The following is a 27,944-nucleotide window of genomic DNA, read 5'->3' as shown; positions in this document are numbered from 1 at the left end:
CCTGAAGGATGCCCACCTGCCAGTGGGTTCTTCTGAGAAGAGGCAGATTGTAATGAGATCATCTGAACATGTGACAAACTATTTGTGGGGAACTCACAATTTTTAAATCTTACCTTTGAAAAATAAGGTGAAAGTTTGTCACGATAAGAAAGTGAACGTCTATTTCAATGAAAAGAAGTGACATGAAAAATCCTGGTATATTTCACTGTATCATTCTCTAATTTATACACACTTAAGTTTATTTAAATATCACACATTTGTACCATAAGAATGCGTTTTAACAAGTGATTTTTTATTCTTTAGCCACAATTCTCCCACATTTTTACATTATCCCTTTTTTCCATATTTTTTAAACATTAGATACATAATTTGTTAGAAGTTAAAAGGGAAAAACATTTTTTTCTGAATCATATCACATTATATTTAGCTTAAAGATTATTAACTTTTTGAATATCAAAAATTGAAGCTGCTGGGAATCACATTTATTTGTAGGTCCCAAAATAGCCCTGAGGTCTGAATAGGAAAATATCTTTTATAAACTATAACAAAACTCTCACCTCAAAATAAAACACTATGAAATTTACACAGTTATATCTGTACTCAGTATCTTTACAATATCCAGAAACCTACTGGATTATTAGAAATGACAATGCAAATAGGTTTACATTCAGAAAAAAAGAGAGCTTATACTAAGAGGACCTAACTTGAAACCTGGCACCCTGTGCAGGAATCTGTTCAATCCTTAGAACGGTCATAAAGTCATCTTTGTTAAAAACACAGGTCCTTGGACACCCCCAAATGTCGGGCAGAACAAAGAGAATTCCAGTACATTGGCTTTTAATGTTCATCTGAATGGGGTATTATTTTCAAATTCAGTCGGATGCCCCAAAGGCTCACGGGCTTGCTGGTCATATTTCTGGGCCTGTCATCGCCTTTTGCGGTTTTCATCAGGTGTATCCATAGCTGTGTAGTTCTAAATCAGCTTCTAGAACTTCTGCTCAAAAACTGGTGTTAAGGTGCCTCCATACCTACCTCCTCAAACTTCTTAAAGCATCAGGCCAACACGGACCATTGCTTTGATGGAAAGTTTCGTGGGGTTTTTTTTTTTCTTATTTAAAAACAATAGAGGGGTGTAGTATTATGACAAAACTAGTTCCCTCAAAAACTGAACTGTGTTAGCATTGATTAGAGTGTCTAATACATAGGCAGACTTGGGGAAATACCAGGGCTTCCTCAGGATATGGTGTTGATTCTGACGGTAACCTGCAGCCAAATGTCAAGGGCCATAGGCTGAATGCCTGGGGAGCTCTTCCAGGGGTAAAGAATCCTCTTGGGCCTGGGCCCCTCCAGGCAGCCAAGATAGGGCAGAGGCAGAGAGATGGCCCAGACCTGGCCAAATGGGTTCTATATGAGCCGCCTTTCAATAAAGACCTGGGCTGTGATGACCCCAGCCGTGTTCTGTGCCACAGCGGGCGGAGTGCTCACAGTGGGTCCTCGGGCCATGTGAGACCCCACTGAGTACACTGAACAACACGCCATCAAAGCAGGTTCCATCTGACACTGCCTGGGGCCCACAGCCAAGCTACAGCAGCATCGTAACCTTTGCCAGCACAAAGCCCAGTGTCCCTTTAGTTCATCTGGATGTATGAGTACACATACATGTGCTCGCCCGTGCACACACTCACAGCTTAGTGTACACTGTCCACATTGGCACTGCCTGCTGCCAAGGGCTGTGCCTTTTATCAAGTCTTAGTCAGGCTGGGTCAGCGTGAGGAAATTGTGTATGCAACACCGGCTTTCAGCTGAGTCGCTTGAAAATAAGTCAAAACAATCCAGGTACTGTGTGTTTCTTTTTCCTGTCTCTTTCAAAAACAACCTCCAGAGGAGTTTTTTTAGCCACTTATTTAAAATGTTAATGAAGGAACCTGTGAGTGCAAGGGCACAGAAATAAGCAGCTGACTCGAGTTATACCAGCGCATAAACAAGTTCCAAATGCACCGAGAGGCGTGGAGGGAAGATGCAAGCAGTGTCTTGAGAGGAACTGCTTTTGTTGTAAGCTCTCGGCAGCTCCCAGCATGACCGCTGCAATGGCATTCATCCCACTGCAGTTGTCATCAATGGGACTTTATTGTTTTAGAAAGATCTGTCATGGTCAGGGTCCCACCTGTCCTTCCCTGGACCGTGGCCCTCCAGGCAGTCCCATGCAGGTGCCGGCTGAAAGCGGCTGGGGTAGAAACCAAGGACCAGGCTGGAAGAAACAGGGCCCCCAGGTGTTTCCAAAGGGGAGCGCCGATTGCCAGGTGCAGAATCCACACAGTTACCCACCGTGGGAGGTGGAGGGACCTGGGCAAATCCCCGGGAAATGTGTTAGAATTTCCCCAAATACTGCAAAAGCGAAAAAGTGCTCGCGCTTTATCATGTGAAAGACTAGTAGTGTCCAGGAGCTGACACAGCACAGGGGGACTCTGACCACCGCAGGAACAGCGAGCTGTGTCAGGACGGAAATGAGCAAGCCTGCGTCTCCGGCGCACCTGGGGAAAGAGTAGTGCAGGGTGCACATCAGGGCTGTGACTCACTCCGCAGAGCACACTTGAGTCCCCAGGGTAAGGATGAACGGACAGCCTTCCCACGTCATGTAGTGTGGCCGGTGGGGCTGGGGGGAGTGTAGTGCTCTTGGAGGCGGGCTACCAGGGATGTGGCAGACCCACTTTTCAGGTCCCATTCATTTCCTCTCTGGGATACGTTTCATCATAATCACTCGGTACGCACGATTCTTCCCAACAGCCTGAAAACAGCAGGCTTTGCATCCTTTTCAGGCCTAGGGTCTGGCCCTATGCCAGGGGCTTCTGTTTCACTCACAACAGCCTCGTCTCCGCTCCTGAGACCTGGTCACCGCCAACAGCAGGGAGAGAAGCGGGCAGAGGGGCCTAGCACGGCCCTCCTGCATCCATAAATCCTATTTTCCAACCAACATCACAAACTCTCTCTCTCCTGCTCCCAGGAGGAGCCTCTTGCCTCAGGAGTGGCCACACTGAGATGACAAAGCCATTACAATTCTGATCTCCATAGTCCTGAGGTCTCCAGTGCTGCCAGGAGTCTGTCAGGAGGAGCCTGAGAGGAAGGAAGATGTCCACGATGTTCCCAAGTGCGGCCAAGGGGCAGCCTCTGCACATCGAGTAATTCCAGATGAATGGCTCCGTGCTGTTCCCTCCTCTTTTCTGGTGAGTTTAGTGCTGGGCTGACTGTAGAACACTTTATTCACAGAAGCAAGTAGAAAAAATTGTCACTCTTAGTTCACGTGCTCCAACGTCAGACCGGGAGCGGCCGGTTCTGGAGGGAAGAGCGAGGACTGGCCTATCTGTATTCTCATCAGCCGCCTCCATGCACACGGAGGTGCATTTCATTGTTGTTGATACACACGTTCCATCCAGAAGAGGCAACTCAGAGGGACTGAAGCAACTTCACACCTACCCCAAAGCCATTTCTGCCACCAGAGTCCCCCATCTCCAATCACCAAGGAAGTCTCCATCAAGGGTGAGCTCCAGGCATCTCAGTTGTCATCAGCAGCATCGACATTGTCTGAGAAATATTTCTTCTGTCCAGTTAAAGCATAATTTACTCAAACACTAAAAAGTAGTAAAATAGACTTCAACTTTTCCTCTAACTATATTTATATATAAATCCCTGAGAAGGTACCTGTCAACTTGAAATTCACTATCTACAGTTAATAAACATCAGGGTGCAGGGAGGGATCCCGAGCCCCACCCCTGTGCACAGCAGGGGCTGGGCTGTCATGGAGGAGAGCAAACCAGGTCTCCCTTCCGAGCAAAGAGGACGGGGTGGGAGAGGCACAGCCGTGTAGGAATTCTAAGCCATCAGCACAGTCACTGGCAGGCCTGCCATTCATTCACTCTGGGGTCTAGGAGGTCCCACCATAACCCGACAGGGACAACACATTGCCCCACACAGGCCCTGGCTTTTCTGTTCTTGGAAGACCTTAGGGTAGGTGGTGCCAGGGATGATCAAGAACTTAAACCAGCTGGGAGAAGAAAACAGACAAAGGAAGGAAAGGCTAATGAGTTAGAAGAGACAAGGTGACGGGGGCAGGAGAACGTGGTGGCAAAGCCAGAGGGGGCACTGTGGTGGCCACTGACAGGTGAAGAGAAGGGGTCGGTGCTCATCGGTCCCCTCCTCCCTGAACCACATGGCAGATCCAGGGAGGGCGAGCCCTCGGTGAGTGAATGCAGCTGTTCAAAGCAACGAAAACAGACAAAATGAAAAATGTTCTCCAAGGACACCAGGCTTTTGGAGAGGCCACTGTGAGACCCCTGACTACCAGATACCCGATGATACTGAGTGGGGATGGGACAAGAAGCCTGCACCTCCCAGCCCTGTCCACATCCTGAGACCGAGGGGCCTGTGTCACCAGTACCTAGGGCTAGAGGAAAGGGCTTCCAAATGGCTCAGGAAGACGAGGGGGTGTTTCTGTCCACCTCTACGACCAGATGACCACACCTCCCATGAGGAATTCCTTACCCAAAAGAAACGAACAGAATAATGTTGCTTAAGTATGAACTGACCCGTCAGATCACCCTGACACTGACCCCATGACACCCCCTCAAGGTGGCTCTGTTTCCCCATCATCTGGGCTTCCCTCCCTGGTCTCCTGCACTCCCTGAGCCTCACTGGGGGCCGACTTGTCCCCTCTGTGCCCACTCCAAAGAGAATGAGAAAACAAGAGCAGAAGGCCCCCCACAGGTCGAGGCAAGAGGTTTGGCAACACTTCCCTTGACTTGGAAAATTCCTCTACTAGCAAATCTGCTTCCACATGGCAAAAATGAGAAGTTCTGGGCCAGCAGCCATGAGCACAGCTGCAGGAGCTGCCTGGACCCGCCGCATGGGCCAAAGGGAAGGGCTGTCCACAGGCAGGCCACAGCTAGAATGAGTCCAGAGAGAGGGACTGGGGAGAGTCTCCAACTCAATCAGGAATGACCCTTCTTTCAGTTGGGTCTGGCAGGTTTCAAAATCCAATCTTTCCACTGAGGCCACAATAAAGCTCCCCGGGAGGTCAGGCTTCCCCCCATGCAGCTGTCATTTTCCCTCGAGTTGCAAACACTGGCCAGGTAATGGCAGCTTCCACTCACCAGGCAAGTGGTCAGCTCGCCTGCAGATTTGCCAAAGAAATCCGTGTCCTGCCCCAAGCTTGTTGGCTCAGCAGGCTTTTCAAAATGCAGGTATCTCTAGAGCTGTTTTGTGGACACCAGGAGCATCACTGGACAATCCCTGTGCTGGCCCCAGAGTATCCTGTGCACCTGGATGAGGCTGGAACACATCGGGGGCAGGGCCGCAACACGTCCACTCCAGAACAGCGTGGGACCTGGGGAAATTGCCAGTCATTTGCTGTCCCATCATTGCTGTTCCACGCATCCCTGACAACTCTGAGCATGGGTTGTGGTGAGGTAGCAGCTGGGCAGGACCAGAAATGTCCATTTTTGACATGGAGGCAGCAGACACCCAGGCTTGGGGTAGAAGTGAGGGCTCCATACCATTCCCAGTGACAGCTTCCCATGGTGGAAACAGGCAGGAATGTCTGGCAACCCACCAAGGGTCAGACGCCACGTCAGTCCGAGCAGAAGCTGCCTGACCCTGGCTGTTCCAATGACAATGAGACATTCTTGGGGAGGTGGAGCCCTCTGTGGGAGCTCAGAATGGGTGTCCTCTCGCAATCACTGTGTTAGAGCTGCGGTTCTCAATGCGGGCTGCAGTGCAGTTACCTGCGGAGCTTTAGGGCGCTCCCAGGGCTTGGCTCCCCGGACCAGGGCCTTGAGAACCTTCACAGCAGGGGTAGCCGGTGTTGAGAAGCGTGCCTGGGAGACCACATGGCACTGCCTGGCTGGGTCCTCGGTTGACAGAGGTGAGGGTGGGGCTCGTGGTGACTTGGTAATGCCGTGAATTATCTACATGTGGCAGGAAGGTGCCACATGCCAAAGGATTCAGGAAAGACAACCCCAAAGATAACCAGTGTCAGTTACAGTCTCCACCTCCTCGAAGAAGACATGGCCAATCCCAACTCCTTGGCCACGAGGGTGACCCACAGTCAACTAATATCTGCAGTTCTCAAAGAGGGTCCAGTCTCCTGTGGCATTCATCATGGTGCCCTTCTGGGATTAAGGAGGAACTCACTGCAATCTCATCTTAAACACTGTATCATCAACACACCAATCTCCCATTAGCCTGGGTGCAGCCTGCAGTCCTGTTCAATGGAGTATTTGGAGAGGCCAGTTTAAGATCCCTGGTTGCTCGATGCCTGCTGGTGCCAAGTGGAAGGGAGTATGGAGAAGCCTGCACCAGCCCTGCCTGCATCCTGAGACAGACACCATGTATCATGATGTATCTAGGGTTATTAGGGTCATAGTACAGAGCCTCCAAATAGGCCTGTGATCGTGCGTGTCCAAGTATTTCAATTAATACTGAAATAAAGTGCATATGTGACAGACACTCTACAACCCACATGGCCAGAGAGCCATTAGAACTAGAAACTCCAGCCTGAGTTTCCAGCTTTCATACCCTGCCCTGCCGAATTAGAATGCTGCAAATCTGATAATGATTACAAATACAAAATTATGCAGAAAACCCCCTTTGATAAATTCAAATTTGATCACTGAGAAAAGTGATCTCCATGTCACTTTGGAGATAAAAGTGTGGACATAAGACTCTCACCAAGAGCTTGTGGCCCAAGGCAAATCACACCCATGCCCTGCCCTGCCCAAGGCCCTGCATCTTGGAAATTCTAAGAGGTCGGCATAAGGATGAACTAAACACCAAGCGCAGTCCTCAAAGGAAAAATAAAAGAAATATCCACACAACGGACTCTTTGGAACTGAGCCTGGAGGAGGGGGCTGCCCAGTCTACTCCAGGAGAATTTGCCGAAAACAAGTCTGTTCCCCATTCCATTCTCTCACCTCTTCTAAAAATCACCTCCTCCCCATTCCTGTAATTTGCGTCATTCTGGGCTCCTGACTCTTGTTGCATCTTTTTGACATTTTAAGGATATCTGGATTCGAATTACTTAAGAGCACATATGGCTTAATTTTGTATTTCTGGTAATCATTTATTATTAAATTTGCCTCATTTTATCGAATGACAGTTTTTTTCTCATATCTATTTTTAATGTTAAAGATTTCGTATCCAGTTTACCTAAAACCCCTTGCTTAAAATGAGTTTAATTCTAGCAATAAATACATGTTTATCGCTCCATTGTTTTATAATTTGACAATATGTTTTTCCTCAATATATTACTATATGGATAAGAGTTTTAAAAAGATACAGTAACATCTGATCCTCTGTCTCACTTGATCATGTGGCTCAACGAGCCAATGCCTCCGTCAAATAGAAATATCCGGCAACACTTAATCTAATGACTAAGAACATCCAGTGTGCACCTACACCCACGATGAGGAGAAAAGACCAAACAGCCAAAAAGGGGAGAATCCCATGATGTCTGTGTGAACTCATACAGGTATCATGGATACTTATTGCTAGAAACAGTATCTTAAACAAAAGGTCTTCAGGCAAGTGTATTAAAACTGCCTTGGATATAAGGGGCCCTATCACTTGTAAAACGTTGCAAATTTGATAAATAATGATTAAAAATACAAAATTACGGAGAAAACGCCCTTTGATAAATTGATCTTTAAAAAAAATCTTAATTGAGGTTCTCTAAAGGGAGCCTTTTAGGCAACGTGCCCGCTAGGTGTACTGATTGCTAGGAGGGCTGGCGACAAGCGAATCCATGTGGCTCCCTCAGCCCTCTCTTGGAAGCAGCCTGGACAAACAGCCTGGAAATGCGCGCAGCCCCGTGGTCCATGGAGCGGAAGTGGTGCGATGCGCAACGGGGCCGCCTCCTTCTCCGCGCCCAGCCCTGCGGCCCCGCCCCGGCCCCAGCCCCGGCCCCAGCGCCAGGCACACGGGCCCTCACGTCCTCTTCTTCCAGGGCGCAGTGCGCCTCTCCTTCTGCGCCTCGGCCTGGCGCTTCTTTTCGGCCTCCTCTGCCTTCCTCTTCTCCTCCTTGGCCTCCTTGTACCGCCACTTGGGGATCTGCAGGTGGCCGCTGTCCTTGGTGCTGCCCTTCCGCGCCGGCCGCTCGGGCTGGAAGGTGGGCGCGGGCGCCTTGCTGACTCGGACCCGGGGCACCACCACACCGGGCCGCACGCTTCTCCGCCGCAGGCGCTGCAGGGGCAGGAGGCTGGCCTTCCGCGGGGCGGGCGCTGCGGGGCCCCGGGACCCCAGGGCGGGAGGGAGGCCGGCTCTCGGGGAGCCCTCCCGGGAGTCCGCGTCCTCCTGTCCGGTCCGCCCGCGCTGCCCCGCGCCCCCCACCTCATCCTCCTCCTGCGCCTGGGGGCCCCGTGCAGCCCGCGCCGCCAGGATCTCCTGCACCGCCAGCCGCCTCTTCCCCACGCTCGGAGGGCTCTCAGGGCACACGGTCTGGCACACGATGGCCACGGCGGGGCTGTAGAGGCTCGTGGTCATCCGGACCATGTGGTCCAGGACGCCCCCGTCCTCCGGGCCCCGCACGGAGCGCGGCGTCAGCACGGACAGCACGCAGTCTGTGAGCCTCTGCAGGCAGTTCTTGGAGCCCGCGGGCTTCCGCGCCGCTTCAGGGGGCGGCGGCAGCTCGGGCCGGTACTTCTCCCAGAACTGCTCCGGGCAGGGGCGCTCCAGCAGCCTCTGCATGAGACGGACGGCATCCACGCGGCCCGTGTAAGTGGCCCACTCCTGCGGCGACATCCCACGGCGGGGGTCCCTCGCGTGGACATCCGCCCCTGCAAAACGCAAAACACAAACAGAAGTGGGTGGCGGCAACAAGGACTCTTCCCTCCCAGGCAGAGCCTGGGGCAAAGGCAAAACTGCCCCCACCCCCCACCCCTGGCCCCAAGCCTCCTAACAGACTGCACCTAGTTCACTCTGCGAACCCTGTGCTCATCTGAGCGCCGGAAGGCGGGCCTGGAGTGCAGTGGCGGGAACACGTCCTACTGTAGCCTCGACTTCCGGGGCTCAAGCCATCCCCCCAAGTCAGCCTCCCGAGTAGCTGGGGCTACACCACCGCCCAGGTAATTTTCTGTAGAGATGGGGCCTGGCTATGTGGCCCAGGCTGGTTTCGAACTGCTGGGTTCAAGCAATCCTCCCACCTCCGCCTTCCAAAGTGCTGGGATTACGGGCGTGAGCCACCGTGCCCAGCCCAACCTGCCTTTTAAGTGCTCCATTGATTATCTGTCCTGAATAAAACCCCGCCTGAATTCAGCACCTAAATTACAGAATTTTTTTTTTCGAGACAGAATTTCACTCTTGTTGCCCAGGCTGGAGTGCAATGGCACAATCTCCGTTCACCGCAACCTCTGCCTCCCGGGTTCAAGCGACTCTCCTGCCTCAGCCTCCCGAGTAGCTGGGATTACAGGCATGTGCTACCACGCCAGGCTAATTTTGTATTTTTAGTAGAGAGGGGGTTTCTCCATGTTGGTCAGGCTAGTCTCGAACTCCCAACCTCAGGTGATCCACCCGCCTCGGCCTCCCAAAGTGCTGGGATTACAGGCGTGAGCCACTGCGCCTGGCCAAATTACAGAATTTTTTAAAGAAATAAGATCCTATAGCTTTCCATCAATGGAGAGATGACCAGACAACAAAGCTGCCTTGCATACTTGAATGCTGTGGCTAGAAAGTTCTAAAAATATGACCAGTAACAGTCACTTGCAAAGTGGTGGCACCCCAGCTGTGGTCTCACTCTTGAGGACTGCCATGGGTCCTGGACTGTGGGAAATGGGTGGTTCCTTCGCTTCTCCCACTGCGGCCTAGCTGGCTGGGGTCTGTCTACCTTTAACCGATGGTGGGCTTTTCCAGGATAGAAAAATTCATTTTTGTTTGCTCAACACGTTTCATCCTGGTGGGTAGGGGGCATGAATTTTTAAAAGGCTTGTTGCAAAAAGAATGGCAGTCACAGTGGCTGTGGGCTAGTAACAGAGAGAGGGTCTAAGACTTGGGTGTCCTAACCTCAGTCTAATGTACTTCCTACCACCTGGCAGTCCTGGTGTGATGGTCAGTTTTAGTTTTCTATGTCAACTTGGCTAGGCTAGAATACCCAGTGATTTAATCAAACATGGATCTAAGTGTTGCCCCAAAGGTATTTTGCAGCTGTGGTTAACATCTATAATCAGTTGACTCTAAGTCAAGGAGATTACCCTTCATAATGCGGGTGGGCCTCGCCCAATTAGTTGAGGGCATTAAGAGCAAAGACCAAGGTTTCCTGGAAACAAAGAAATTCCACCTCAAGACTGCGGCATCTACTTACTGCTGCCTGAGTTTCCAGCCTTCGAGCCTACCGCACCAGTTTCAGACTCACCAACCCCCCAAACCACACAGCCAATTCCTTAAAATAAATCTCTTGATATCCACATCCTATTGGTTGACTGATAGGTCCCCTTACACAGTCTCCCTGACACTAGTCACTCCCTTAATAAATCTCCCCAGTCCACCCACTGCCCCCAAATATTGCAAAGTTAAACTTCAACTCAACTTGATGAAATCTGCATAAATTTCAATGTTGTAGTATAGAAATTAATACGGAATTGCTGTTCAATTAATCTTGGTCCAATCTCAGTCCCACATACTGTTAAAAATCATTGAGGGGCCAGGCATAGTGGCTCACACCTGTAATCCTAGCACTTTGGAGGCCGAGGAGGGCAGATCTCCTGACGTCAGGGGTTTGGGACCAACCTGGCCAATACATGGTGAAACCCCACCTCTACTAAAAACACACAAAAAATTAGCTGGGCGTGGTGGCAGGCACCTGTAATCCCAACTACTCAGGAGGCTGAGGCAGGAGAATCGCTTCAACCCGGGAGGCAGAGGTTGCAGTGAGCCGAGATCGCACCACCGCACTCCAGCCTGATTAACAGAGAAAGACTCCATTTCAAAAAAAAAAAAATCATTGAGGATTTCAAGTCCCATTAGTCATATCTCCACCAGCAAAGCAACATGGAGAACTAGGGCAATTATCTAGTCTGTGAGCTCAAAGGGGACCGGACCCGACAGACGCTTCTTCATTTATATCCCATGCAGACCCAGGAGTCTGACATGTGATGGCTGATCAACGTGTGCTGAACTGAGGAAGGTCGGGTCCCCAGCCACTGCCCTGGCCTGTTGGCCCACAGTGGCCTCATGGCTCTGGCAGACCCAGCTCACCTGAGCTTGCCTGGTAAGGATCTTAGTTCTGTGACACATTAAAGAATAGCCATATTAGAAGAGTGGTAATTATTTGGAACTGGATATCAGGATGGAACTCATTAGCTAGAGTACAATTTATAAACTGACTAAAATGAAAAGGGGGCAGTAAAAGTGTCATTGCAAAAAATAGATGACACATTAAACCTTAATTAATTGCATGTCACTTAAAAAAGGAACAAACTATAAAATTAAAATCTTAATGAACACTGCCTGAAAGAGACATTTTTCAAATGCTAATGGAAAACCAGAGGAAGATCTGTCCAAAGTTTTGCACTCTTCGTCCTGATGTTCACCTATCTTTTCAAAATGATCTCAGAAAATACAAACATTCTAAGGAACAAAGGCCACTGAGCCCTAGAATCAGAGTCATGCTATAAATTAGGGATCTGCTGCCTTAGGAAGCAACTGTAAAGGGTTATATTAATGACATGAACACAGCAATTAAATTATAAAAGATAAGTACCGATTATTAACATTTTATACAAATACCTTCCAGAGAATACAGAGGATTTCTGAAATGCCACTGTATCCATCTTCTCGCCAGCAGACCCCCCAGCATCGTCATCTCCCACCCAGTGTTGTTTTGCCCAGGGCTCAATCATGTGGACAAAAGTGGAGCTGCCACCCATGGGTCCACTCGCTGCCTTGTTGAGTGCTCTAAGTCTACACAAAATCCTCTATTTCACTTGAGGCAGCAACATCCTCAGTTCTTGGCAATGCATCACGATCAGTCTAACCCAGGACTTCTGAACCTCAGCACTGTTGACATATTAGGCCAGGTAATTATTTGGTGTGGGCTGTCCTGTGCATTGGAGAACATTTAACGGCATCCCTGATCTCTACCTTCTTCTAGATGCCAGTAGCAGTCCGCCAGTTCTGACAACCAAAAATGTCTACAGACGTGGCCAAATGTCCCCTGGGGCAACATTACCTCCAGCTGAGAATCACTATTGGAATCTAACGGCTGCAATCCTGTTCCCCATTCTTCCAGCCTCCCTTACAGCTAAAAGTAGCCAAGCAACCCAGCACTGGTGACTGAGCCCTAAAGAGGGTTCTGCCTCCTGACGAAAGGGACCAGCATGGTTGGTGCTGCTGCAGCTTCCTGTCTGAAACACATATTGGGTGATTCTCGTGGAATCAAGGGGTGACAGATCAACAGGCTAAGGGGAGCCAAATGGACAGGAGGAAACCACTGTTGTCCTCATGGAATCCAGGGCCAGCTCTGGAGGGTGACTGCCAACCTCAGACTTCCAGGGAGCTGAGAAATGCGGCCTGTTTTCTTTAAGCCACTGTCTAGTCAGGATTTCTGTTACTTGCAGCCAAAAACATTCCAAACAGGTGCTAATGGGAAAAAAAAATCTATACTTTCCATCACTCATTCTCAAGAAGGCTTTCTCTGGGAGCCATGGCCAGGCCCAGGACTAGCAGGAGGTGGGTGGAGCGTGAAGCCCTGAATGTGTCACTTCCTTTCCTGCTTCTCCACCAGCCCCCACCCACCCCCATGTTATCCACTCTACAAACCCTAGCTCAGGTCTCCCTCTTGCCAGGGGGCCTTTCCTGGCCACAGGAGACCACTGTGGACCAGCCCTCACTGCCTCCCCTTGTGCCACCTCCAGCCTGTATCTTGGGCATTGTGGGTATAATCGGGATGACAAATCTGGATGCAGGGTCCAAGAAAGAGCTTGTGCTCCAGCCCAGCAGGGAGGACAAGCCACCCCCACCACATAGCAGGTGGGAAGTGTGCTCAAAGTTCTCATCTCCCCTCAAAGAGGCACTGGAGTTGGGAAATAAACTTCCCAGCATCTCTGCGATATCTTTTCCTCATAGTGGAGGGTCCAGGGGGTCTGAGTCCCAGCTGCCCACAAGAGGAACCTGCTCATTGGTGGACATTTCTTAGCTTCCATTCTTCCCAATCTCACTTGCTGCCCCCTCACTCCACTTCCTGGGGCCACCATCCCTCAAAACTACTTGCCCCCAAGTCCTTGTCTCGAGGTTTGCTTTGCAGGTGACACAGAATGCTTGACTTTTCATCCTTTCTCTGGCTAATGACTTCAAACAATTCTACATGGCAAATTCACACTTCATAGGAAATTTAAGTTTTCCTTATAAACAGAAAGAAACCTCTATATGGTTGGAAATCATCTGACTTTCCAGAAAGAGATATCAGGGCTTCCCTGAGACAAGAGCAACCCTCTGACCCACAGCGGGAGCATCTCTGATCTCTGTTCCTCGCCGTCCTTTAAATCCACTTTGCGCCTTGGAATCACAGGAAGATTTGAGGTTATTGCTGCTTGTTTTTGCTTCCTGAAGGCTGCGGCAGTTACACCACACTTCAGGTCTGAAAGTGAGCTCCCTTAAGCAAGCCTGGAACCTGGCAACCTCCACAGATTCTGCCTCTCTTCAGAAAAAAATCACATCCTCGATACGCTTCTCAGAGCCACCTATTTAAATAGACCTGTCACTGTGGGCATTAATATTTCAGTGAATTAACAAGGTTCTGCAACTCCCTTGTGATGCTCTTCAGCAGAGCCTGCATTACTCCTTACGAAGCCAAACCAAAGATGCAATCGATCAGCCTCTCAGAACCCGGTTATACTTTTTATTACAATCTGAAGTGTCAATCTAAAAGAAAGGCTCTGGCTATTAGTTTCTTTAAATGGTTTATTTTTTTCTTAATATCACGTATTTAAATGGAAAGAATAAGACTTAAAATATTTGTGTGAATTTTAGAAATATATCAACATCTGTCCTTATTGCTCTCCACTAATCCTGGGGAAGCAATTCAACACTTTTTTTTTTTTTTTTAATTCTTACCCATCTACTGTCAAAGGAAAATAAAACCCACTTTTCTTGGGAGAACTGTAAGCTTAGTAGTAATAGTAGAAGATGAAAATATTCCGTAAGTTCTACACTACAACCAAAGCTTAAGAGGGCAGCTCAAAAGTTCCCTAAACAAGATGTCACTTCTCTTTTTTTTTTTTTTTTTTTTTTGAGACAGAGTCTCACTCTGTTGCCTAGGCTGGAATACAGTGGCATGATATCGGCTCACTGCAACCTCCGCCTCCTAGGTTCAAGCGATTCTCTTGCCTCAGCCTCCCGAGTGGCTGGGATTACAGGCTTGTGCTACCATGCCCGGCTAAATTTTTTTTGTATTTTCAGTAGAGGCGGGATTTCACCATGTTGGCCAGGCTGGTCTCGAACTCCTGTCCTCAGGTGATCCACCCGCCTCAGCCTCCCACAGTGCTGAGATTACAGACGTGGGCCACCATGCCCGGCCAAGATGTCACACTTTTATTTGAGGGAGGAATACAGAACAAGCGAGGAAGAGTACACAGAGGGGAAAATGTCTCTTCTCACTTTGTATATCCTTTCCCATTTAAATTATTTATATCAGTGGTTCTCGATGGGAAGCAATTTTTCCCCCAACCTGGGAGACTTTGAGCAACATCTAGAGACATTTTTGGTTGTCACAACTGAAGAGGTGCTACAGTCATCTTGTGGGTAGAGGCCAGGGATGCCACTAAAAATCCTACAATTTGAAAGACAGCCCCCACAACAAAGAATTATCTGGCTCTGCATGTTAGTAGTGCTGAAATTAAGAAACCCCTGGCCAGGTGCGGTGGCTCACACCTGTAATCCCAGCACTTTGGGAGGACGAGGCATGCAGATCACAAGGTCAGGAGTTTGAGACCAGCCTGGCCAATATGGAGAAACCCTGTCTCTCCTAAAAATACAAACATTAGCTGGATGTGGTGGTGCATGCCTGTAGTCCTAGCTACTCAGGAGGCTGAAGCAAGAGAATTGCTTGAACCCAGGAGGCAGAGATTGCAGTGAACCGAGATCGCGCCACTGCACTCCACTCTGGGCGACAGAGTGAGACTCCGTCTCAAAACAAAACAAAACAAAGCAAAACAAACAAACAAAAACAGAACAAAAAAGCAAAAAACAAAAACCCTGAGGTAGGGGCTTACTACCCTCATTAAGAAAGTTTAAGTATCTCATTTACAAGATATTTCTCAAAGGGAAAAACAAACCGTATTTTTTCATTCACTTAACAGATAACTATTGAACACATAAACTCACCAATAATCATAATAATAACAATAATCACAACCAACATGTCCGAAGGCTTCTCCAAGCCCAGCATGCACCCGAGGGCTGTTCTGTTGTGAACGTGCCCAATCCGCATCCCACCTTCCTGCGGTGGGTGCTATCATTAGCCTCATTTTATAGAAGAGGAAACTGGGGCCCAGAGAGGTGAGTGACAGGCTGCAGGTGTAGAGATGGGAAGTGGAGAAGATGAATTTGAAACTGGGTCCTGGTTCCTGGACTGTTTCTGTTCAGCTCCTGCTCTGTACCTCGTATAGGACAGGGAGAGACTCACTAGAGGATCCCACAGACAATAATCCGTGGATTGTTCTAGACTGTGATGGGGGATGGGCTTGCAAAGTGGAGAATAGGGGAGGGAGAGTCTCAAATCTAATGTCAAATTTGTATCCAAATAACTGATGGGGGAAGAGCAATGTCAGCAGTAAACCCACTGCCCGCAGACTCATCGTTCCAAGAGATGTGCAAGGTGTTTCTGGAATCCTCTAAATGCTGTCACACATGCCTGAAACCCCCAGGAGACCCAGGGAAGAAAGCACGGCAGTCAAACGGAGCGATTAGAGGGCAACTGACCTAAAAAAGGTTTGCAGTTCAAATTAATTCAATGGGAAAGTGCAGTGATGTGACTGACATCATAAATGTTCAGTTGAAAAAGTCAATTACCAAACATCTACGCCCAATTATAACTAGATCCAGAAATAGTAAAAGTGTCTGAAGCTCCCGCCAAACACAAAAGCATCACATAATTACCATTTAATTAGTAGGAACCATTTCTCATTGATGAGGGCAGGCAGGGCCGAAACTCTGTTGAAACTGATATCTCGTTTTTTTAAAATAAAACTATCATCTCTGAATCAAAAGTACAATCGATAGGACTCGTTTTTAATTATGTTTTTTTTTTTATTTCCAAGAAAGTTTTCATCTTTGAAGCCTCTATTCTCATTCACTGAACTTATTTTTATTATAGCATCTCCTAAGACTAAAGAATCCCCTAAGGTTAAAGCAAAAAGAAAGATAAATCTGAAGCAATTGTGAATCCTGTAACTCCAGATTGATCTCGAGAAAAACAACAGACGGGCTCAGACTGGGCGGTGCTGCACACTGGTTGGAATCAAGACTGTCCCGTCATGGGCAACAGGTTATGACAGAAACTTCACAGACCCAAGAAGATGAGGGGCAGGGCGCGGTGGCTCACACCTATAATCCCAGAACTTTGGGAGGCTAAGGCGGGCAGATCACGGGATGTCAGGAGTTCAAGACCAACCTGGCCAACATGGTGAAACACCGTCTCTACTAAAAATACAAAAATTAGCTGTGCGTGGTGGCAGGTGCCTGTAATCCCAGCTACTCGGGAGGCTGAGGCAGGAGAATCGCTTGAACCCGGGAGGTGGAGGTTGCAGTGAGCCGAGATTGCACCACCGCACTCCAGCCTGGGCGACAGAGTGAGACTGTCTCAAAAAAAAAAAAAAAAAAAAAAAGAAGAAGAAGAAGAAGACTGGGGACAACTAAGAAGAAGACAACTAAATGTGGGAGCCCAGCAGGGGTCCTGGAACAGAAAAGTGACATTAATGGAAGCACTGATGCCTGGGAAAACTCTGATGCCACCCTCAGGATAACCAAGACAGGGGTGGTGCTGTGGTCTGAATGTTGACGACCCTCCAAAATTCCTATGCTGGAACTTCAGACCCACTGGAATAGTATTAAGAGGTGAGGCCTTTAGGGGGTGATTAGATCATGAGGGCTGTGCCCTCCTGAATCAAACTAGTGCCTTATGAAAGAGGGTTTGAGGGTACCTCGGTGTCCCCTCTGCCATGAGAGGAGACAGTAAGAAGGAAGGGGCATCAGCAGACATCGAACCTGCCGGCACCTTGATCTTGGACTTCTCAGCCTCCCCAAGTGTGAGCAATAAATTTCTACAGTTACAAATTACACAGGTGAGGTATTTTGTTATAGCAGCAGAACAACTAAGACAGAGAGGAAATCCACTTCTTCAGGAACTTGCAGCGCCAAGCAGGACTGGCTGAACCCAGTGCCAAGAACAAAAATAAAGAGAAATTAAAATAACAGAATTAAGTAATGGTGAAAGCAGCATCGCACATTCACTGAGATGTCAGCTGCTAACTGAATCTAACACGACATGTGCTTGACACATATTTTCTCATTTAATTCTCAAAATAACCCGATGAGGTTGCACGAAGGATGATCATTGATTCTATTTCAGAGTGAAGAAAAGAGTTAAAGCTATTAGTTGTGTGGCATTTAGCTTAGTAGCTCATTGAAGCTGGATAGCCTCTAGGAGTGTATAAAGTATTGTTGCATTTTAGCCTCAGGGAGGTGAGGGAGAAAGAGGTCATTACTCCCATTTCACAGATGGGAACAGGAAAGTGCGTTCTCCAAGATGGCGCAAAAGACAAAGAGGGGTTGATCCAGGTTGATAGCCTGAGAATTTTCCACTCTATGACACAGCATAGAAAACGGAAATTGCCACACACATCACCATGCAATACCACGTTGCCTCCTAACATTACCACGCAACTCCACATCACCCGCTAACATCACCACACAACTCCACGTCACCCGCTAACATCACCGCGCAACTCCACGTCACCCGCTAACATTACCACGCAACTCCACGTCACCGCCTAACATCACCGTGCAACTCCACGTCACCCGCTAACATCGCCGCGCAACTCCACGTCACCCGCTAACATCGCCGCGCAACTCCGCGTCACCCGCTAACATCACCGCGCAACTCCACGTCACCGCCTAACATCGCCGCGCAACCCCACGTCACCCGCTAACATCGCCGCACAACTCCACGTCACCGCCTAACATCGCCGCGCAACGCCGCGTCACCCGCTAACATCGCCGCGCAACTCCGCGTCACCCGCTAACATCGCCGCGCAACTCCGCGTCACCGCCTAACATCGCCGCGCAACCCCACGTCACCCGCTAACATCGCCGCGCAACTCCGCGTCACCCGCTAACATCGCCGCGCAACTCCGCGTCACCGCCTAACATCGCCGCGCAACCCCACGTCACCCGCTAACATCGCCGCGCAACTCCGCGTCACCCGCTAACATCGCCGCGCAACTCCGCGTCACCCGCTAACATCGCCGCGCAACTCCACGTCACCGCCTAACATCGCCGCGCAACTCCACGTCACCGCCTAACATCGCCGCGCAACGCCGCGTCACCCGCTAACATCGCCGCGCAACTCCGCGTCACCCGCTAACATCGCCGCGCAACTCCGCGTCACCGCCTAACATCGCCGCGCAACCCCGCGTCACCCGCTAACATCGCCGCGCAACTCCGCGTCACCCGCTAACATCGCCGCGCAACTCCGCGTCACCGCCTAACATCGCCGCGCAACCCCACGTCACCCGCTAACATCGCCGCGCAACTCCGCGTCACCCGCTAACATCGCCGCGCAACTCCACGTCACCGCCTAACATCGCCGCGCAACCCCACGTCACCCGCTAACATCGCCGCGCAACTCCACGTCACCGCCTAACATCGCCGCGCAACGCCGCGTCACCCGCTAACATCGCCGCGCAACTCCGCGTCACCCGCTAACATCGCCGCGCAACTCCGCGTCACCGCCTAACATCGCCGCGCAACTCCGCGTCACCCGCTAACATCGCCGCGCAACTCCGCGTCACCCGCTAACATCGCCGCGCAACTCCGCGTCACCGCCTAACATCGCCGCGCAACTCCGCGTCACCCGCTAACATCGCCGTGCAACTCCGCGTCACCCGCTAATATCGCCGCGCAACTCCGCGTCACCCGCTAACATTACCACACAACTCCACGTCACCCGCTAACATTACCATGCAACTCCACATTGCCTCTTAATGTTACCATGTAACTCCGGATCACCTCCTAACATTACCCTGCAACTCCATGTTACTTCCTAATGCTACCGTGCAACATGTCGCCTCCTAACGTTAACAAGCAACTCCACATCGCCTTCTAACGTTACCATGCAACACGTCACCTCCTAACGTCACCATGCAACTCCACGTCACCTCCCAACGTTACCATGCAACTCCACATCACATCCCAACATTAACATGCAACTCCACATCACCTCCTAACGTTACTATGCAATGCCACCCACCAGCAAGCAGTGACCTAGGATGGCCTGGGCCGTTCCCACCATCCCTACGCCCACCTTCAACAGCACAGTCTTGCCATTTACAGCCAAGGGATCACCCCTTTCTGAGGAGGAACAGATATGGACAGGACTTGGGGTGTAGAACGGGTGGGCAGGAGGAAAACAGCAGGTGAGGGAAGGTGCCACCCACTGCAAAGCTCAGCAGGGAGCAGAAAGGGGTGTCCTGAAGGGAACCAATGCTGTGGCTTTTTTAAAACCTCAGATAGTTACAGAAGTATATGTCAGTGAAGAAACTATTATTTATTGCAGCAACTAGGCATTGTTTCTATGGGAGTGATTAATCTCAAAACATATTCCATAAAGGAGCAACTCTGGTGTCCCAGGGCCCCTGGAAGCTGCACAGGACAGGTGGACATACCTGCTAGCATCAGGGCTCGGATGCAGTCCGTTCGACCCTGCATGGCGGCTTTCATCAGGGCGGTGAACCCGAACGCGTTCCTCCTTTCAAGGTCAAGACCAGGGAAATAGTTCAACAAGTAGTTAGTGATGATAGCGTGCCCTGTAAAGAGAAGTGTACACGTGTATTGGTTCCCACTTCCACAAAATGTGCTGGTTCCAGCCAGGCCTTCCTAGAGAGAGAAAGAAACACTGAGTCAGCCCTGGGCCAGCCGGTCTGCTGTGTGAGTTTTTCTCGGACCCCAAGACAGAATTCTCCTGGAGCCCAGGAAACAGAGGAAAGGAGAAGGCACCGCCCTGGCTGCAGCGCTGCTGTTTTGGGTTCTTGCAGGTCCCCTTCGGCAAAGCACTCGAGGGAGGAGCTGTCCCATTACACTACTGGGGGTGGATGTGGGGGGCAGGGACGCTGCGGGCAGGTAGGGAGCGCAGCCTCAGACAGCCAATGAGGGCAGGAAGCCTCAACTCCCAGCAGGAGACGCCCGTGCAAACAGATGCAAAGCTGCAAATGAGCTTCAGAACCGCTTCCAAGTGCTCCAGAGCTGCAGGGAGGAAAAAGTCATCATCATAGCAATAGGACAGTGCCAATTCACGCTGGCACCCTGTTCCCACCCAGAAGCAGGAGTCTCTCTCTCCACCCTTACCCACCACCACCCCTCCCCCCGCCGCCGTGTGTGTGTGTGTGTGTGTGTGTGTGTGTGTGTGTGTCTAACTACCTACGCCCACACACATCCCACAGAGTGTCGCAGGCAAGGCCCTCAGCTATAAAGCAAAGCAGGTAAGGAGATGTCTCAGAGAACACAGATTTCTCCCCTTTCTCACCTTGCACCTCCAAAAAGGATCTAACTTTCTGCTCATTCCCAGGCACGCCCATGGTGCTCTCAGTTAATGGTGAATAAGGAGAATGTCACAGCAACAGTGCTGTTTCCAGGATTCTCCCATGGAAAACCAAAATGGAGTGGGAGAGCATCCTCTTGGGTCAACTGTCCATGCCACCTGATGCCGGCTAGCTCATAAGTCCTTGTGTGAATACATCTCCCCCTCCCCCACTTCAGTGTCCTGGAGCAGGGTCCGTCCCAGCCTTGGCACAGTCGGCACAGGGGGCCGCATGACTCTTGGTTGTGGGGACTGCCCTGTGCACTGCAGGACACTAGGCAGATCCCTGGTCTCTACCCGATAGATGCCAGTAGCAACCACCCCCACTCCCGCATAGGTTGTGACAACCAAAACTGTGTCCAGACACCACCAAACCGCCATCGGTGGGGCAAGAACACCCCAGGTGAGAACCACTGTCCCCGAAGCTCAGACTTCACTCCTTCGTGACCAACCACACCTGGTGGAAAGAGCTTCCTTCCTCTCTCCCTCTGCTGCACCCTCCCCTGAGCTGCCACCTCCATCCAGGCCCCTGCTGATGAGGTCTGAAACTCTTGGGAATATGAGCAATCTGCCCGAGTCTCTCCTCCTGAACCCCAGGGGAGGTGCTGGGTACCCAGTTCCCATCCTTTTTGTTTATTTAAGAGATGGAGTCTCTCTTTGTCACTCACACTGGAGTGCAGGAGCACGATCATAGCTCACTGTAGTGTGGACCTCCTGGGCTCAAGAGATCCTCCCTCCTCAGCCTCCCAAGTAGCTGGGCTCACAGGCGAGCATCATCATGCCCAGCTAATTAAAAAAAATTTTTTTTTGTAGAGATGGGATCTCCCAACGTTGCCGAGGCTGGTCTCAAACTCCTGCATTCAAGCAGTTCTCCTGCCTCAGCCTCCCAAAGTGCTGGGATTCCAGGTGTGAGCCACTGTGTCTGGCCACAGTCCCCATTCTTATGCACCGATGACGCAGTGCTCAGAAATCCCCACTTATTCATTCCAACTCAAGCATGTTCCTTTCAGCCCCCACTGTCGCAGCTGCAGGGGCCTCGTGGACATTTCTATGCACTCTCTCCTTAACTTGGCATCACCTCCCTCCCCCCAGGAACACCTGAATCATGGAGAAGCCGGGCCCTGGGCCCAGAATCTCCACAGGCATCTGGTTTGCACAGAAACTTCCAATGGGTGGCACTGCCTGAGATTTGGGATGGGAGAGAGGTGGCAAGGACATCACTCTGGGGTCGGGCAGGCATGAGACCTGAGGTGCCTCCCCAGCCCAGCCCACCTCTGCAGACAGAATACTACGTGAGCATGACGCTGCAGCAGCCTCCAGGATTCCCCGCTGCGGCTGAGATCTCCAGTAGGCAGGGCTGGGCGCCCTTGGCCTCTGCTCCCCTAGCCCCTTCAGTTCAGCAAATCCAATATGAAACCCTCCGATATATCAAGTGGCTTCTGTCTCCCCAGCCACACCCTGAGGGATAGTACTGCCGGGGTTGGAACCCAGTTTCCTCCTTTGAGGGCCACTCCAGGCTGCTGCCTCACCAGTATGAAATCCTGTGGGTTTGCTCTTCATCAATCCAAAAGAAGAAGGAACAGGCAACCAAAATCAGGGGTGAACTCTCCTGAGGAGCAAGCTCGCCATTGACCTCAGCCCATCTCCTGAGCTCTCCACAAATGTGAAAAGGGGAACCATGTATCTTTTTGAAAAGGAAGCCCTGATGAGTCTAACAGTGTTCAGGTTATAAGCAGGAAACAAAGGGTACGATCCCCTCGCTGCGTGACTCACAGCCAGTCGCTGGTGCTTTTTTGACTCATTTACACCACATTGCTCTCCCTCGTCCTTTACTATGTGCGGGGAGGGGCTAAGGCCAGCTGTCAGGTACCCAGAGCTGCTGAATTACTCTCAACTGGGTGGTATGGGAAGGTGGGGGAATCCTTTGATCTCAGTTTGGTTTATGGTCCAGTTAAATGCTTGGCGGCACCTGTCAGTTAGATTTAACCAGGGGCATAGTAAAATGAATTGCAATTCCTTTGGAGCCATTTCTTTAAACTGTGAAATAGCGTGTCCGTCACAATCTTCTGCAGGATGTTCCTTTGCACTGATATATCCTCAGCACTTTGAACAGGTGGAAAGAGGAAAAACTCAAAGTCCACAGAGCAAACCACCCATTATATAGATCTGTTCTGCGTATTATGTTGAGTCCAGAAAAACCAACATGCAGTCAACTTGTTCTGACTACAGGCCTGAGCTTTCGATGATCCAAGAAATCACGCCCTGCTTCCCACGGGTTTTCCCAGGATGGCAGAATAATACCTCTCATCACACAGATGACCCCATTCAATGGAAATCAAAGGTGGACCCAATACTTCTAAGAATGTATAAGTATTAACCTTTCTTCTTTAAAAACCATGATGAGTAACCAAAAGGAGCTTTCCTTTTCTTTACATATATGAGACACACAGCCTTCCTTGCACAAGGGAACCCAAACACACGCCATATTGAAATCTAGTTTGAGGCCAGGTGCAGTGGCTCACTCCTGTAATCCCAGCACTTTGGGAGGCCAAGGCAGGCAGATCACTTGAGGCCAGGAGTTCAAGACCGGCCTGGGCAACATAGTGCCTGTCTCTACTAAAAATACAAAAATTAGCTGGGTGTGCTGGTGCATGCCTATATTCTCAGCTACTCAGGAGGTTGAGGCAGGAGCATTGCTTGAACCCAGGAGGTGGAGGTTGCAGTGAGCTAAGATCACACCACTGAACTCCAGCCTGGACGACAGAGTGAGACCCTGTCTCAAAAAAAAAAAAGAAAAAAATCTAGTTTGAGCCCAGTCCAACTTGGACATTATGGAATCGGACTTGGTTCCTGAAATCCTCAGAGAAGCCCTTTTAAAGGGTAGGTTCACCTAGAGAACCCCAGAACACCCCCTCTCCACCAATAAGCCCTACCCTGCTTAAGAGAGGGTCACAAGTGACCCAGGGAGGAAGTGAATTTGAATGAAATCGCGTCACTGGAACATAGTGTAGACAATGAGCTCAGTACTGAAGAGAGCTGGCTCTGAGAACAGCCAGGTTCAAGGCCCAGGCCTGCCACTCAGAATCCGGGTGTCTTTTGGAAGTCAGCTTTTCCATATCTGTAAAATGAGGGATAATATCAACCTCCCATTTGTGAAAATTATAGGAGACAATCTGTGTGTAAAAGGTGCCCAGCAGAATAGAAAAATCTGGAAGAAAAATTCTGAATAATCCAGGCAGGCACTCCACTCTCAAGGGGCTAGAACGTGTTCCCCCCTCCTTAACCCGCGGGCTGCGTGCACTGACTTCCTGTGAAAGACTATTACACGGAAACGGGGGAGGAGGGAGAGAACCTCACAGTGGAGAAATCTGCTAACATGACCTCAGCCAGGTGACCAAGGCCCATCAGCCCTTTATCGGGCGTCTTCCTCCAAAAACTCATAACTCCAGTCTCATCACAAGAAAAGCATCAGGCACGTCCAAATTAAGGAACATTCTGCAATGTACCTGACCAGTCCTCCTCAAAACTGTCGAGGTCATGAAAAACAAGAGAAGTCTGAGAAGCTCACAGCCAAGAGGAGCCTGAGGAGCCATGAGTGCTAAATGCCACATGCGATCCTGCAACAGAAAAAGGAAATCCGGGAAACGCTGAGGAAATCCGAATAAAGAACGGACTTCAGTTAATAATGGTGAATTGACACGCGTCCATTCATTGTGTTCAGCGCGTCACGGACGTCAGATCTTAACAACAGAGGGAACCAGTGTGAGGCACACAGGCATTCTCTGTACAGTGTTTGTGGTTTCTCTGTAAACATAAACTATTCTCAAATCAAAAGTTTATTTTAAAAAAAGAGGAGATAGGCTTGGCGCAGTGGCGCACGCCTGTAATCCCAGCACTCTGGGAGGCCGAGGCGGGTGGATCACGTGGCCAAGAGATCACACCGTCCTGGCCAACATGGTGAAACCCCATCTCTACTAAAAATATAAAAATTAGCTGGGCGTGGTGGCGTGCACCTGTAGTCCCAGTTACTCCGGAGGCTGAGGCAGGAGAATTGCTTGAACCCAGGAGGTGGAGGTTGCGGTGAGCCAAGATTGCATCACTGCACTCCAGCCTGGTGACAGAGCAAGACCCCATCTCAAAAAGAAAAAAAAAAAAAAAAAGAGGAGAACTGGCTGGGCATGGTGGCTCACGCCTGTAATCCTAGCACTTTGGGAGGCTGAGGGGGGTGGATCACCTGAGGTCAGGAGTTCAAGACCAGCCTGGCCAACATGGGGAAACCCCATCTCTACTAAAAATAGAAAAATTAGCTGGGAGTGGTGGCGGGTGCCTGTAATCCCAGCTACTCGGGAGGCTGAGGCAGGAGAATCACTTGAAACCAGGAGGAGGAGGTTGCAGTGAGCAGAGATCATGCCACTGTACTCCAGCCTGGGCAACAGAGCAAGACACTGTCTCAAAATAAATACATAAATAAAAATAAAAATAAAAAAGGGGAAACTAGCATAGAGCCGTTCAAAAAGAGTGCAAGGTCAGGACCATGATTCACAGCTGGCTGTGCGGCCTGGTGTGGGGCCTCTCCACCCTGGACCTGAGGCTCTCCCAGTGGTGGGGAGCTCACCAGGAAGCCACGGGAGCATTCAGGAGGCAGAGATGGAGCCCAGCCCCCAACCCCGGGCAGGAGGAGGGAGAGGAGTGCTTGATTCAGAGAGCTCCTAAATGAGTGGATGGACAGGTCTGTGGTATGCAAAAGAGGAAAGCTGGAAATGACGCCTGGCCCCGCCACACCCCTGGTTCCGCTCTGCATGGATGCGAAGGTGCCTTCGTTGGGGGACACAAAGAGGTGGACACCCACGCCACCCGGGCCCGACCGGCTTCTCAGCCTGCCCCAGCAGTGCTCCTGTGCTTCCCGGTTGACTCTTCCCCAGGCCCCATGGGGAAAATGTTAAATTTTTCACATGGAAGTCACCGACCTCACGCAAACCCCTCTCCTGGATGACTCATCTTCAAGTTCATAGAGGGAACAGAAACCACCAGAAGGGAAGTCCCTCGGCTTTCCCCCATCGCCCCCCACGCTGCCCACATTCACGGGCCTCCGAGAAGGAAAAGTGAAATCCTGAGCCATCCAACGGACTGAACCGACCCCCTCCTGCCCAAGGGGACCCCAGAGAACCCTTGAAAACTGAGTCCTGGCTATGACAGGATGGAAGGGCAATGCGCCTCGTTATACCCATTCCTTGCTAACCGTGAGGCTTTCTTTCCTAAGTCTAAACAGAAACCAGCCCGTTCTAAAGACTCCTCCACTGATATAAACCAACCGCCTGATGCTGCCCCGCCGTTCTGCAATTTGGATGAAACAACCGACCAGCATTCCGTCCTCATGAGAGACACTGGCCATGGCTTTGGAGTGCGTCCGGCAGGTCCACAGAGGACGCGCAGTGAGGGTTTTCATGTCCTCTGCTTCACCTTTTGAGGTCAGGGCCTGAAAACTCCACCCTCAGATCATGCTAACGCTGTTGCTTTTTGAACACAGGTCCCAGGGAGAGGCACGGAGCTCGATTGCACACTTGCGTGTTTCTCCTCTCATCGATATTCAATGCTTCTCCCATAGCTTATGGAATATGTGTATTGAGCCACCTCCTTCAGCATGCATTGTTCTTCTGTCTTGTTCTTCTGCCCCTGGAAGGGTCTGTTTCTGGCTTCTGGCCAGAGGCGCTGCTTCCCTGCCACAATAGCCACCCTGCAGGCTGCAACCCTTTATGAGAAGAAAGCTCTTCTTTCCAAGTTTATGAACCTCGTCAATCCTCAGTTCACTTTTCCTATTGAAAACGCAGGGGATTCTCCTCTTGCTGAAGGAGGCTTATCCCTGCTCCTCCCCTCCTGTGCTTGACAGCCACTCCCTGCCCACTGCTGTGGAATATTTATCAGATCCCTCCTGTTTCTCATCAACCTCTCATTCCTTGCAGACCCACTTCCCTCAGAATGCTGTTGGGGCTCAGAAAGCAATACCCCACAGTGAAGGCCTCAGAAGCAAAGGTTTCTCTCTGCCCTCCTGCCCTCCCATGTCTCAGTCCCTTCTTCCCTGAGGCCAGCCATCCAAACTGGAATCCCTCTTCCCCAAGGCAGATCTTTGAAACCAGAACCCCTTTTCCCTAAGGCCAGCCTAAAGGTTCCCTAAAACCTAAAAATACTGCCCTAACATAAAGAAATTATCTGACTTGCCATGTCCGACTGTAGGTCATAAGACCCCTGTTCCAGGGAGAGTCACTCCCAGAAGGAAGAAGTGCTGCTCAGAGAAACCTAGAAGAATCGAGGAGACAGGCAGGCCTGTGGGGTTTCCCCACTCAGTCTATTTATTAGCATTATATTTCTTCTTCTTTTTTTTTTTTTTTTGACACAGTCTCACTCTGTCACCTAGGCTGGAGTGCAGTGGCGCGACCTTGGCTCACTGCAACCTCAGCCTCCTGGGTTCAAGCCATTCTCCTGCCTCAGCCTCCCAAAGTGCTGGGATTCTAGGCATGAGCCACCGTGCCTGGCCTGTCCAACTATATTTCTACATAACTGTCCACACTTTGTTGAACCTAAGCAGAAAAATGGAAAATTCCTCCTGCATTTTTGGGTTTTCATTCCGAAGGCTCCCATGTACGCATGTTATGGGAACATGGCCTCTTTTGTATGCCTCTTCTCTTATTCACCTGCCTTTTGCAAGTTGATTTTAGTGAACCTTCAGAAGGCCCTTAGTTCCTACAATGCACTAATGGCCCATCTTCTTCACACTGCCCTTTGTTAAGTGACTTCCCAGTTCTCTGTCTAGTGGAACCTTGGCCGATGGGATGTTTGCAGGCGTGATGGAAGCAGAAGGTTGAAATGTACTTATCCAGACTTTCATGCATGTTTGTGCCTCAGCTGTCTCCCCAAGAAGAGCATGCCCAGGCTGGCTCGCTGCTCCCAGGAAGAGGATGAGTAATGCATGCAGCAGAGCTGCCCCAGCCGAAGTGCCCAAGAACAGGTCCCCGACTTGCCCACAGACTTGAGCAAGGACAGTTTAGATCAACAGATCCCCAGCCCATCCACAGATGCATAAGCAATAAAAACATCCCAGAGCATGGGAGTTGTTTGT

General features: G+C 50.3%; 1 protein-coding gene across 2 annotated transcripts in view, besides 13 other annotated features; it reads right to left on the bottom strand.

The window, feature by feature from the left end:
• Positions 1-271: 271 nt before the first annotated feature.
• ANKRD33B (ankyrin repeat domain 33B) overlaps positions 272-27,944 on the bottom strand; it is a 93,747-nt gene continuing 66,074 nt past the window's right edge. For both annotated transcript variants that reach the window (NM_001164440.2, XM_005248343.5), the window contains 2 exons: positions 19,920-20,060; positions 272-8,822 (listed from right to left, as the gene is read on the bottom strand). In NM_001164440.2, coding sequence (NP_001157912.1) covers positions 7,975-8,822; positions 19,920-20,060 — 989 coding nt within the window. In that variant the 3' untranslated portion in view covers positions 272-7,974. The remainder of the gene's footprint in view (positions 8,823-19,919; positions 20,061-27,944) is intronic.
• Positions 1,007-1,955: an enhancer, noted in NCBI's record as "H3K27ac-H3K4me1 hESC enhancer chr5:10656245-10657193 (GRCh37/hg19 assembly coordinates)". NCBI's record gives its function as "activates a minimal SCP1, AML or CMV promoter by ChIP-STARR-seq in naive H9 embryonic stem cells {active_cell/tissue: H9 hESC(naive)}" and the evidence as "EXISTENCE:reporter gene assay evidence [ECO:0000049][PMID:30033119]".
• Positions 20,386-21,118: an enhancer, noted in NCBI's record as "H3K4me1 hESC enhancer chr5:10637082-10637814 (GRCh37/hg19 assembly coordinates)". NCBI's record gives its function as "activates a minimal SCP1, AML or CMV promoter by ChIP-STARR-seq in naive and primed H9 embryonic stem cells {active_cell/tissue: H9 hESC(naive and primed)}" and the evidence as "EXISTENCE:reporter gene assay evidence [ECO:0000049][PMID:30033119]".
• Positions 21,692-22,011: an enhancer, noted in NCBI's record as "active region_22377". NCBI's record gives its function as "activates an Ori minimal core promoter by ATAC-STARR-seq in GM12878 lymphoblastoid cells {active_cell/tissue: GM12878}" and the evidence as "EXISTENCE:reporter gene assay evidence [ECO:0000049][PMID:35858748]".
• Positions 22,652-22,781: a silencer, noted in NCBI's record as "silent region_15927". NCBI's record gives its function as "represses an Ori minimal core promoter by ATAC-STARR-seq in GM12878 lymphoblastoid cells {active_cell/tissue: GM12878}" and the evidence as "EXISTENCE:reporter gene assay evidence [ECO:0000049][PMID:35858748]".
• Positions 23,904-23,983: an enhancer, noted in NCBI's record as "active region_22376". NCBI's record gives its function as "activates an Ori minimal core promoter by ATAC-STARR-seq in GM12878 lymphoblastoid cells {active_cell/tissue: GM12878}" and the evidence as "EXISTENCE:reporter gene assay evidence [ECO:0000049][PMID:35858748]".
• Positions 24,234-24,323: a silencer, noted in NCBI's record as "silent region_15926". NCBI's record gives its function as "represses an Ori minimal core promoter by ATAC-STARR-seq in GM12878 lymphoblastoid cells {active_cell/tissue: GM12878}" and the evidence as "EXISTENCE:reporter gene assay evidence [ECO:0000049][PMID:35858748]".
• Positions 25,414-25,483: an enhancer, noted in NCBI's record as "active region_22375". NCBI's record gives its function as "activates an Ori minimal core promoter by ATAC-STARR-seq in GM12878 lymphoblastoid cells {active_cell/tissue: GM12878}" and the evidence as "EXISTENCE:reporter gene assay evidence [ECO:0000049][PMID:35858748]".
• Positions 25,504-26,163: an enhancer, noted in NCBI's record as "active region_22374". NCBI's record gives its function as "activates an Ori minimal core promoter by ATAC-STARR-seq in GM12878 lymphoblastoid cells {active_cell/tissue: GM12878}" and the evidence as "EXISTENCE:reporter gene assay evidence [ECO:0000049][PMID:35858748]".
• Positions 25,504-26,586: a biological region, named in NCBI's record as "H3K4me1 hESC enhancer GRCh37_chr5:10631614-10632356".
• Positions 25,844-26,586: an enhancer, noted in NCBI's record as "H3K4me1 hESC enhancer chr5:10631614-10632356 (GRCh37/hg19 assembly coordinates)". NCBI's record gives its function as "activates a minimal SCP1, AML or CMV promoter by ChIP-STARR-seq in primed H9 embryonic stem cells {active_cell/tissue: H9 hESC(primed)}" and the evidence as "EXISTENCE:reporter gene assay evidence [ECO:0000049][PMID:30033119]".
• Positions 26,334-26,413: an enhancer, noted in NCBI's record as "active region_22373". NCBI's record gives its function as "activates an Ori minimal core promoter by ATAC-STARR-seq in GM12878 lymphoblastoid cells {active_cell/tissue: GM12878}" and the evidence as "EXISTENCE:reporter gene assay evidence [ECO:0000049][PMID:35858748]".
• Positions 26,464-26,543: an enhancer, noted in NCBI's record as "active region_22372". NCBI's record gives its function as "activates an Ori minimal core promoter by ATAC-STARR-seq in GM12878 lymphoblastoid cells {active_cell/tissue: GM12878}" and the evidence as "EXISTENCE:reporter gene assay evidence [ECO:0000049][PMID:35858748]".
• Positions 26,574-26,713: an enhancer, noted in NCBI's record as "active region_22371". NCBI's record gives its function as "activates an Ori minimal core promoter by ATAC-STARR-seq in GM12878 lymphoblastoid cells {active_cell/tissue: GM12878}" and the evidence as "EXISTENCE:reporter gene assay evidence [ECO:0000049][PMID:35858748]".

The sequence above is a fragment of the Homo sapiens genome, chromosome 5 (genome assembly GCF_000001405.40).
Source record: "Homo sapiens chromosome 5, GRCh38.p14 Primary Assembly".
NCBI classification, from domain to species: domain Eukaryota; kingdom Metazoa; phylum Chordata; class Mammalia; order Primates; family Hominidae; genus Homo; species Homo sapiens.
Note: the sequence above shows the minus strand (reverse complement) of the source record. Positions and strands in the feature narration are given on the sequence as shown.